The sequence below is a fragment of the Homo sapiens genome, chromosome 14 (genome assembly GCF_000001405.40).
Source record: "Homo sapiens chromosome 14, GRCh38.p14 Primary Assembly".
NCBI classification, from domain to species: domain Eukaryota; kingdom Metazoa; phylum Chordata; class Mammalia; order Primates; family Hominidae; genus Homo; species Homo sapiens.
In genome coordinates, this window is record NC_000014.9 from 55,173,284 (window position 1) to 55,185,480 (window position 12,197).

The window sequence follows — 12,197 nt, forward strand, 5'->3', positions numbered from 1 at the left end:
AAAACAAAAAAAAAAACACACACACACCAAAATTAGCCACCCACTGGCAGGAGGATGGCTTGAGCTCAGGACAGAGAGGCTGCGGTGAGCTGAGATCACATCACTGTACTCCAGCCTGGGCAACAGAGTGCAACCATTTCAAAACAAAAGAAAAGAAAGAAATGAAGTCACTCTCAAAAAGTATATTTATAATAGAACAAATGAATAGTAAAACTATAATGAGATACTTACTTCTCATCTATTTGATTTGCAAACAGAATAGTGTGTATTGTATGATATTGTCTCTCTCTATAGATATATGTTGTCTCTCTCTCTCTCTCTATATATATATATACATGTTGCAGGAAGTCAGGGACCCCAAACGGAGGGACTGGCTGAAGCCATGGCAGAAGAACGTGGATTATGAAGATTTCATGGACATTTATTAGTTCCCCAAATTAATACTTTTGTAATATCTTATGCCTGTCTTTACTGCAATCTCTAAATATAAATTGTAAAGATTTCATGGACACTTATCACTTCCCCAGTCAATACCCTTGTGATTTCCTATGCCTGTCTTTACTTACTTTAATCTCTTAATCCTGTCAGCTGAGGAGGATGTATGTCACCTCAGGACCCTGTAATAACTGTATTAACTGCACAAATTGTACAGCATGTGTGTTTGAGCAATATGAAATGTGGGCACCTTGAAAAAACAGGATAACAGCGATTGTTCAGGGAATAAGAGAGATAACCTTAAACTCTGGCCGCCGGTGAGCCGGGCGGAACAGAGCCATATTTCTCTTCTTTCAAAAGCAAATGGGAGAAATATCACTGAATTCTTTTTCTCAGCAAGGAACATCCCTGAGAAAGAGAATGCGCACCTGGGGGTGGGTCTCTTAACTGGCCCCCTGGGCGTGGCCGTCTCTTACTGTCGAAACTGCAGGGGTGAAATAGACCCCAGTCTCCCATAGCGCTCCCAGGCTTATTAGGAAGAGGAAATTCCCGCCTAATAAATTTTGGTCAGACTGGTTGATCTCAAAACCCTGTCTCCTGATAAGATGTTATCAATGACAATGGTGCCCGAAACTTCATTTAGCAATTTTAATTTCGCCCTGGTCCCGTGATCTCACCCTGCCTCCACTTGCCTTGTGATATTCTATTACCTTGTAAAGTACTTGATGTCTGTGACCCACACCTATTCGCACACTCCCTCCCCTTTTGAAAATCCCTAATAAAAACTTGCTGGTTTTTGCAGCTTGTGGGGCATCACGGAACCTACCGACATGTGATGTCTCCCCCGGATGCCCAGCTTTAAAATTTCTTTTTGTACTCTGTCCCTTTACTTCTCAAGCTGGCCAATGCTTAAGGAAAACAGAAAAGAACCTACGTGAATATCAGGGCAGATTCCCCGATATATATATGTATATAGATATATATATATTTTGAGATGGAGTCTCACTCTGTTGCCAGGCTGGAGTGCAGTGGTGCAATCTTGGCTAACTGCAACCTCCGCCTCCCAGGTTCAAGCAATTCTCCTGCCTTAGCCTCATGAGTAGCTGGGACTACAGGCGTGCACCACCACGCCCGGATAATTTTTACAGTTTTAGTAGAGATGGGGTTTCACCATGTTAGACAGGATGGTCTCGATTTCTTGACCTTGTGATCCACCCACCTCGGCCTCCCAAAGTGCTGGGATTACAGGCGTGAGCCACCGCGCCCAGCCTATTGTCCATATTTTTTAAAAAAGAAAAAAATGTACATGTTATATTTGTCTACATATGCATGAACTATCCATGGAAGTATTCACAAGAAATGAGTAACACTTGCCTTCATGAAAGGTTCAAACTATGTGGTTGGGTCACAGTGCTGAGAAGAAGTCTTCTCACTTGTACCTTTTCCTACCCTTTGAATTAGGAACCACATGAATGTACTAGTTATCAAAAAAATAATTAAAATTTAAACGTGAAAATCACCTAACACCAGTTTTCCCCCACTATATTAAGGTTAAAAATTTTTAGTTTTGGTTTTAAATGTCTAGATATTAATACAAAATTCTTACACTAGAAACACACAGACATACCTGAAATATGGCACACCATGGTGGGGCTGAGCAATTCGACCTTCATTTCTTTCAAGTGATGGGACTTCTTTTATTGGAAGGCCATTTAAATTTTTAGTAGTAGCTTCATTTTTATTTAAAACATGTTCTATAAATTAAAGAAAATCTTACATATAAATTTCAAAGCAACAATTCCTAAAATGACAGCCCCTAAAAAGACATTTTAAAAATCCTTTTCAATGTTTAATTTTAAAATTTTATTTCTGCCTCAATCACTTCACATTTCCTCTAAAGTAGCTCTCAATATTTTTTCTTTAAATTTACATTTATTTCCCCTCTTCTGTCTGTATTCTTCATTCCAATATTCTCTTCAGATATCTTTACCCATGCTTTCCCGTCTTTTCTGACCCTGAGTTCACATCCCCAAATGATATGGTGAAAAAGAGCTCCAAACAAATCTGACAAGTAATAATCCAGAAAAGTAAAAATGTAATTACTATACCTGAAAGCAAAATATTTTTTGTATTAACATTATTCTAAAAAATGAATAAATTAATTAAATACTATACCTTCATGCCAAACAGTTAGAGGACCCAAAGGACATGGCAATTTATTTGAATCTTGCTGTATTGTCTTGGTAGAGTAAGTTTTACATTTTTGTGCCAAAATTTCTTTTGTTGCTTGAGACTCATCACTAAAAACAATAGCAAAAATATACTTCATGAAACATGAACTCCATATATCTAATATAAAGGGTTTCAAAATTGTGTCACTTGTAGATCTGGGCTAAAATAGAAATGTTTCTATTTTTTTAAAATGTGTATTCTGGAGGGGAGAAAATGTAAACACCTATAGTGTGAATGTCCATTTTTACTAATTAATTGTAATCAGATTCAAAGATTTTGAAGATTTCTTAATGGAACATAAACACTTAACAGTCTTAGATGCTGCTGAGCAGTTTTTAGTATATTTGCTGCCAGCCAGTCTTTGCAAAATGATCTTGCCTTTTCTTTTAAAGGTTCCAACTGATTTTTCCCTTGTTTTGCAAATTAATCATTTTTGTCTTCAGGGCCAGTTTTTCTAAATACTAAGCCAGAAGAAAATGAGGAAAAAGTCGTATCTGAGCTAAAGCAGTATAGCAATTTTCTTCTTTTGAAAAATGTATGTGTTATAATTAAGTCATTTATTAAAAACAAAAAACCCAAATTGTATAGTGAAAATAACAATGCATAGGAAATATAAAAACTGTCAATTACATTATTGTACCTTCTGAAGAATTTTTTTTAAAGAAAAAAATTGCATGATTCCTAATTAACACAGTTCACTAATAATAACTTTTTAAGAGCATAGACCAAATATAAGAAAGACATTTGGCCGGGCGCGGTGGCTCACGCCTGTAATCCCAGCACTTTGGGAGGCCGAGGCGGGCGGATCACGAGGTCAGGAGATCGAGACCATCCTGGCTAACATGGTGAAACCCCGTCTCTACTAAAGATACAAAAAATTAGCCGGGCGTGGTGACGGGCGCCTGTAGTCCCAGCTACTTGAGAGGCTGAGGCAGAAGAATGGCGTGAACCCGGGTGGCGGAGCTTACAGTGAGGGGAGATCACGCCACTGCACTCCAGCCTGGGCGACAGAGCGAACTCCGTCTGAAAAAAAAAAAAAAAAAAAAAAAAAAAAGAAAGGCATTTATTACCCATCTTAGCAAGAGACTTATTATTAAGATCATATTCTTACACTTCTGTTTTTAAAGGAGTCCAGGTGTAACTGGGTGTCAAAAAAGCATTGGCACTTCTGGGAGTCATAGGTGTTACTTGATAGGTCTTCAGACCATCCAGTGGCTGAAACATAAAATCCTTAGGTGCAAAGGAATTCTTCCCTTTTATTTTTGCAGTATTTATCTCAGGTAAGTTTTCCATTTTTGATAAGACTCCATCTGGATTCATTCCACTTGTTGCATTAGTTTGTGAATTCAAAGTATTTTCTTCACTATCGACTTTACAAGAAATACCCTAGGATGTGAGTTAACAAAGTAGAGTAAGATTTCTCTCTTCTGAGGATATATTCAACCAATTTTTATAGGTCTGAAAATATGACAACAGAAATATATGTTCTATGTACATAATTTGAGAGACAAAAACAGATACAATTAAGTGTATACATGGAATCAGAAGACCAGTTACGCTAAATCCATTGCTATTACCCGGGAATAGAATCTTTTTTTTTTTTTTGATACGGAGTAGCCCTCCGTCGCCCAGGCTGGAGTGCAGTCGCGCGATCTCGGCTCCCTGCAAGCTCCGCCTCCCGGGTTCACGCCATTCTCCTGCCTCAGCCTCCCAAGTAGCTGGGACTACAGACGCCCGCCACCACGCCCGGCTAATTTTTTGTATTTTTAGTGGAGACGGGGTTTCGCTGTGTTAGCCAGGATGGTCTCAATCTCCTGACCTCGTCATCCGCCCGCCTAGGCCTCCCAAAGTGCTGGGATTACAGGCGGGAGCCACCGCACCCACCCCGAACCAATTCTTATTTAAAGACTAACTAATACCTTTTGGGTATTACAACAAATTAAAAGATAATGGAAAATTAATATGGAAAAACTTATTCAACAAATACGTATCTTTTTACTTAAATTATGTTGATAATTACGGCCAGGCACGGTGGCTCATGCCTGTAATCCCAGCACTTTGGGAGGCTGAGGCGGGCGGATCACAAGGTCGGGAGATCGAGACCATCCTGGCTAACACAGCAAAACCCCGTCTTTGCTAAAAATACAAAAAATTATTGGGGCGTGGTGGCAGGCGCCTATAGTCCCAGCTACTTGGGAGGCTGAGGCAGGAGAATGGTGAGAAACCGGGAGGTGGAGCTTGCAGTGAGCCGAGATCGTGTCACTGCACTTCAGCCTGGGCGACAGAGCGAGACTCTGTCTCAAAAAAAAAATTATGTTGATAATTACAATGGTTTAAAATCAGAAATCTAACATTATGGAATGACTATCATTAAGGACCAAATTCTTAAGTTAAATAACCTTAGATTATAAATAACCTTAACACAAGAGCAATACTTTCAATGTGACACAAAAGATTAACCATATAAAATACAAAGCATATTTACTATTTCAAGTCAATTTGTTACTTGGTATTTAAATAATTTCTAGAGGTTTCCAGGTTTCTGATTTTTAATAAGATATGAACTCAAACCCAGGTATTTCAACCTGGACAAGAGTTTAAGTGGTAACACTGTTGAAGCCAGCATGGCAGTCAAAGCAAAAACTAGTGATAATCCTTAAGGGTTAATCTTAAGGGGGGACCTATAAGGTCCAGCTGCTTTATCTGTGAAGATTCACTGTGTGTTTCCTTTCTTGATCTGTGTTTGATTTTTTACTAAGAATCTAGCCAGGTTACTTAATCTTTGGTACTTTTTTTAAATTAAGAAATTATACTGGCCAGGCGTGGTGGCTCACGCCTGTAATCCCAGCACTTTGGGAGGCCGAAGTAGGTGGATCACCTGAGGTCGGGAGTTCAAGACCAGCCTGGCCAACATGGTGAAACCTCGTCTCTACTAAAAATACAAAAATCAGATGGGCGTGGTGGTGCACGTCTGTAATCCCAACTACTCGGGAGGCTGAGGCAGGAGAATCACTTGAACCCGGGGAGCGGAAGGTGCAGTGAGCCAAGATCGCGCCATTGCACTCGAGCCTGGGCGACAGAGTGAGACTCTGTCTCAAAAAATAAAATAAAAGAAAATAAACTATATCATAGATTATAGGCCAAGGGGTTGGGTCCTCAAATGGGGCATCTTTTTTGAAGACCTTATTAGAAACCATGCTAGATGCAGGCAGAAATTTTAGTTTATTTAATTCTTACAACTACTCTATGCAGGTATTCCATGTTAGGAATAAGAAAAGAAGCTCATAAACTACATAACTTGCCCAGGGTTATGCAACTAATTGGAAGCAGAGAGAGTATTCAAACCCAGGCCTAAATGAATCCAAAGTCAATGCATTTCACCCCACTTCACCCTATGTCTTGGCTAATTCCCACATACAGGTTTCTCTCAGCTGTGTTTTTATTATTTTTCTCCATCTTCTAACAAAATTATGCTTTCTCTACCTATAAAGCTCTGAAAATAAGATACCTGAAAAATAACAAGAGTAAATCCTCTTGATGCTTTCTTATGGTTCAGGAAGTTTTAACACACATGTAGGTTAACCTTTTGAAGCAGTTCTTTATGTTTAATTTCAACTTTATGAAAGTAGCAATGAGATTTTCAAAGCATCTAGAATTAAAAAGATGTTTATTCTCTACCTTGTCGGGTTTTGTTTCTACATTTTTGGCAGGTCTTCCTTTACTTGGCACCTTTCCTTCTGGTTCGTTTTCTAAAACAACAATAAAATATTTATTTTACTAGATAGAAATGCTACATGAAAATACTAGGTAACTTGGGAAAGGAAAAGAAGCAACAGTAGGAATATATGTCTTGAAGGATTTTTTTATTAAAAGCCATATTATAAAAAGGGTTATGGAATTTCCTGCCAAATACAAACCATCTCTTTTCAAAACCAGAGTGTTTTACCCTTTTCATCTGAATACCAAATACAGATTGAGTATCCCTTATCCAAAATGCTTGGGACCAGAGATATTTTAGATTCCAGATTTTGGAATATTTACATTATACTTACAGGTTCAGCATACTTGATACAAATATCTAAAATCTGAAATGCTCCAAGAGCATTTCCTTTGAGGATGACCTTTGAACTTCATGTCAATGCTCAGAATTTTGGATGTTTTGATTAGGGTTGCTCAGCCTGTACATATTTATTACAGACAATTAGAAAAATAACAGAAAACTACAAAGAACAATAATGACAAATCACCCAGGATTCCATTACTCAGCTGTCACTTCAGGGTATGGTTTTCCAGTCCTATGTCCACATATTCCCATAATGCTTTTTAGAACTGCGATCCTACTGTTCAGAGTTTGACCTGCTTTTCTTTGCCCACTTAATATATCATGAACCATGTCATTAAGTGTTCTTTAATAATATTATTCTTAATGGCTACGTTGTATTGCACCAAATAAATGAACTGTGATTTACTCGGACCATTAATTTTTCACTTTGAAACACTGCTTATACTAATTAAGGTCTTCAATGATTGGGCACCCATTGTGTGCTAACCAGATGTCAGGGCACAGAATCTATTTTCAGGTATTAGAATTTCCTGTTTCCTTCTCTCCTACTCAAAGAAGTACTTGTTGATTTTTGAAACGGAACACAAAAACCTCAAGGACCAAACATTCTAGTTCAGTCACTGATCAAGGAATAGTTCTCACCATTAGCAGCTCTTGTGACTGGCTTTCTTGCTGTGGTAGATGAGACTGTTCTGGGAACCTGCTTTGCTGCTTGAGTAGCTGATCGAGTCATTCTCAACGACGTGGGCATTACAGGCTGCACAACTGTGGGAAAAAAAAATAACTACATCAAATGTCCCTTGTAGTTATGAAATTATTGCTGTGAAGCCAGGCATGGTAGTGCAATGCCTGTAGTCCCAGCTACTTGGGAGGCAGGAGGATTACTTCAGCCCAGGAGTTCGAAACCAGCCTAGGCAACATAGTGAGACCCCGTCTCTACAAAAAATATAAAAATCAGCTGGGCATGGTGGCAAGTCTGTAGTTGCAGCTACTCAGGAGGCTGAGGTGGGAGGATCACTTGAGCCCAGGAGGTGGAGGCTCCAGTGAGCTATGATTGTGCCACTGCACTCCAACCTGGGCAACAGAGCAAGACTCTGTCACAAACAAACGAACAAATTCCAGTTGACCTTCAAGACACTTAAAAAAAATTATGGCTGTGGTAGCCTCAGAGGATTTATAGTAATTGCTAATATTCCTACCTTTTTTCTCTTTGTCTGACACTTTCTTTTCAGAAGTTTGTCTTGGACCAGGTCGGATTGCTCGAACATCACTCTCGTTATCAATCTATTTAAGAGATTAGGTGCTATGTGATTTAATTGCATAATGAATCAGACCATCATATTTTTAATCTGTAAATTGATTCCTCATATGAAATCTGATCATCGTAAATGACCCAACAACAACAACAAAAAACTACCCCAAATAAAATGAGATAAAGAAAAGCTTTCCATTAAGCTTCCAAAAAAGCTTACATCCTTTTTCACAATCACAGAATTTGGAAAATGCTAATAACCCAAGCTATTAAAAACAGCTCACTATAACTTGCCTTCTGAAGGTCCTTAAACACTCCTAGACATACTTTCACTTCAAGACCTTTTAATTTTGCCTAGAAAATACTTCTCCTGGATAAAAAGCGCTTTCCCATGGTTCTCTTCTCCACTTCCATAATGACTTCACTCAAAAGGCTTTCATCTCAGGGAGGCCTTCCTTAACTGCCCAATCAAAATTCTACCCCATACCTATTTCTAGTACACCCCATCTCCCCTTTTTAAAATCTCTTCCATAATACTTATCATCTTCTGGCATATTATGTATTTTTTTAAATGCCTTACATGTAAGTTCCACAAAGAGAATTTAGTTTATTATATCCAAAAGCCTACAACACCAGGAACATCATAGCAATGCAAAATATATATGCATACGTGGAACTTAGCTTCCTCACCTGATAAAGAGGCATATTATTTCCCTTCTTGCCCACTTCACTTTGTTTTAGTAACCCTCCTGATATCTCTATTACAGTATTTTGAAGACCCGTAAGTTTATAACACCTACCCTGTGTGCTTTCCTCCCCATATGCATTTCATGCAGGTAACTTGGAATGCATAATAGGAGCCCACTAAACAAAACAAGAGTGTGACACAAAGACAGTTTGCCATGGATCTCATACGGAATGTTGGAGCAAATATTTTAAGTGAAATTGCTCTACATCACCATACTAAAAACAGTGACTTTGGTACCTGTTAACTCTAGTAAATTAATCATTATGTTTGAATCTGATACTAGATTTAAAATGAATTTACTTACTAAAAAAGTGCAATTTATCATTTTAGTAACAATTATCTACTATCAACTATACCTTAGTCTGCTCCATTTGGTCTTTGGCCTTTGACCTTGTAATCCGTACAGAAGATGGAATAGCCTTAGAACAGTCAAAAGAAGATGAACTTAAAATATGAACTGGTAAAGGTTTACTTCCATATCTTATTACAAAATAAAGTTCCCATTTTAAAGTTAAATTTTATCCTTAATCTCTTATAGCAAAAAGATACTTAAATTCCTTTTTCTGGTTCTAGCTTGATTTAAATTAAGTTAGTAACTTCAAAAATTACTCACATTTCTCAGTGAGAAAGAAATTTCAAACCGTATTTTCCAGGTATTGGAATCATCATTAATATGAGCTTCTATCCTCTCTTAGTTCTCCTGCCTCTCTGACCAGTCCTCAGCCTGGTACCTGGCTTCTGCCTACCTAAAAGTGCTCTCTAGAGCCCACTTTTTCATAATTTTATATATCCTTATTGGAATGGTCTCATTTAGTCCTACAGCTTAAACACTCATCCATATTCCCAATATTATATCCTAAATCGACATCTTAGCACCAATTTCCATCCTTCTTTCCAAATTTTTACTAATATCTAGGTGGCCCACACAAGTTTAAGATTTTTAAAAAGGTTATTAACATGCACCCACTTAAGCTTGTTCCTTATCTTCCTTATCTCTTTTAGCAGCAGAGCTTCTCTCTGCTTTTTCAATTTCCTTTACCCCTCACCATCTACTTGGCCACCAGTCCTGTCAAATGCCTTTATTTAGATGTCTTACACCTATTTTTTCCTTTTAAAACCCACTGCCCCTTTCCATCTATTCTATTACAATAGTCTCACAATTGGTCTCCCTATCTATAAATGCTTCCCTTTCCAGACTAAAATCTTTAGGGCTATGGTATTTTCCTGAATTATTAATTTGACAACGGCACTACCCTTATTTATAAACTTCTCCTGATTCTGCAAAACCTACAGGATAAACACCAAATCCTTTGCATAACATTGTTCAGCCTGATTCTACCAATTTTCCTAGTTTTATCCTATCTCAACTTACCTACAGCTATCTTAAGAGACCTGATTTTCATTCTTCTGAGCTACTATTATGTCATTCCCACCTTCTACCAACCAGTTAATAATGAGACTAAGGGAAAGGGGTTAGTCACTTAATGTCTTGAAGAAAATACCAAATAAAAGAAACTATTCCTTTATATTAAGACACTAAATTTACCTTTTTTGGCTCAGCTTTCACAGCATTCTGGTTTGATAAAAGAAAACAAGGCATATCAGGTCTATAACGACCCACTTTAAATATTCCTCGTTTAGCTTTCTCTCTCTGCTCTTTCAATTTTTGAAGTTGCTTTTCTTCTTTGTATTTTTGGAGCATCTGTTTTCGTTGATCACCTAGAATAGTTTTCATTGCCCCTAGGCAGAAAAAAAACCAAAACCACACAGTATATAAAACATTTCAGATGAAAAGTTATGCAAATGTATAAACAATTATTTTTGTGTCATTTCAACTGCTGCTAAAAAATGCTTTCAGGCCAGGCACGGTGGCTCACGCCTGTAATCCCAGCACTTTGGGAGGCTGAGGAGGGCGGATCATCTGAGGTCAGGAGTTTGAGACCAGCCTGGCCAACGTGGTGAAATCCCATCTCTACTAAAAATTCAAAAATTAGCTGGGTGTGGTGGCGGTCACCTGTAATCCCAGCTATTCGGGAGGTTGAGGTAGGAGAATTGCTTGAACCCAGGAGATGGAGGTTGCAGTGAGCCAAGATTGCGCCCCTGCACTCCAGCCTAAGCAACAGAGCAAGACTCCGTCTCAAGAAAAAAAAAAAGGCTTTCAATAAGCCAGGCACAGTAACACACCTGTAGTCCCATCTACTGGGAAGGCTGAGGTGGAAGGATCATTTGAGCCCAGGAGTTCAAGTTCAGCTTGAGTAACAAAGCAAGACCTCTCCGCACAAAGGGAAATGCTTTTAATATTTCTTGTTAATTCTTTAGCACTCTAACCACAAGTTATTTCAACCCCTAGTCTTTTAAAATTTGTATTCATTTTGCCTTCATGTGTTCAAATATTAACTGCTTGCTATGTAATAGGCATTTATTACTTCACTTTTAAATTAATTAACTTGTATGATAGCCAGCATCCAAGCTGCCCTCTACTGATCCTCACTTCCTGGTAGTCTTGCCCTGTGTCATCCCCTCACACTGAATAGGGCTGACTTGTGTGACCAAGAGAGTATTACAGGAATAATGGAATATGACTTCTAAAACTAGGGTAGTGTTTGCCTTGCTCTCTCTTGAAGCGTCGCTTGCTCTGGGAGAAGCCAGGTGCCATGTGGGGCCTTAAGAAGACTCAAGCAGTCCTATGGAGATGTCCACATGACAAAGAACTACAGCCTCCTTCCAAAAGCCAGCATCAACTTGCTGTTCATGTGAGTCAGTCATCTTGGAGGCAGATCCTCCAGTCTCAGTTAAGGCTTCAGATATATCTCTGGATGACATCTTGGCTGCTATCTTCAGAATCACCCAGCTCAGCCATACCCAAGTTCCTGACCCACAAAAATTGTATGAAATAATCAATATTTATTGTTTTAAGCTGCTAAGTTTTGGGATAACTAATACAATTATAGGTGCTATTTATTATAATAGATGTACTCTATTTCTTCTCACCTACTCAAGGACATTCTTCCAGCAACTTATCCTCTTACTCATCTATTTTTTCCTCTACTGAATTGTTGCCATTATGAAGTTACAAGCATGCGGTAATTTCTCCCAACCTACATCCTCATCTAGCACTTATTTTTCTAGTCCCATTTAAGGCAAAATTCTTCAAGAGAGTTACCTGTATCTCTACTATCAACACTTTTATTTATTTATTTATTTGAGGCAGAGTCTCGCACTGTCGCCTTGGCTGGAATGCAGCGGCGTGATCTCGGCTCAATGCATCCTCGGCCTCCCGGGTTCAAGCGATTCTACTGCCTCAGCCTCCCGAGTAGCTGGGATTACAGGCGCCCACCACCATGCCCAGCTAATTTTTTGCATTTTTAGTAGAGACGGAGTTTCACCATTTTGGCCAGGGTGGTCTCGAACTCCTGACCTCATGATTCACCCACCTCGGCCTCCCAAAGTGCTGGGAGTACAGGTGT

The 12,197-nt window shown here is 38.7% G+C and overlaps 1 protein-coding gene across 4 annotated transcripts in view; it reads right to left on the reverse strand.

Annotated features, from left to right (window-relative positions):
* The window catches only part of DLGAP5 (DLG associated protein 5), a 43,451-nt gene that overhangs the window by 25,149 nt on the left and 6,105 nt on the right, over positions 1 to 12,197 (reverse strand). For all 4 annotated transcript variants that reach the window (NM_014750.5, NM_001146015.2, XM_017021840.3 and 1 more), the window contains exons 3-10: positions 10,277 to 10,470; positions 9,087 to 9,149; positions 7,930 to 8,014; positions 7,373 to 7,495; positions 6,346 to 6,416; positions 3,779 to 4,053; positions 2,611 to 2,735; positions 2,063 to 2,189 (exon numbers count right to left, since the gene is read on the reverse strand). In NM_014750.5, the coding sequence (NP_055565.3) occupies positions 2,063 to 2,189; positions 2,611 to 2,735; positions 3,779 to 4,053; positions 6,346 to 6,416; positions 7,373 to 7,495; positions 7,930 to 8,014; positions 9,087 to 9,149; positions 10,277 to 10,470 (1,063 nt within the window). The remainder of the gene's footprint in view (positions 1 to 2,062; positions 2,190 to 2,610; positions 2,736 to 3,778; positions 4,054 to 6,345; positions 6,417 to 7,372; positions 7,496 to 7,929; positions 8,015 to 9,086; positions 9,150 to 10,276; positions 10,471 to 12,197) is intronic.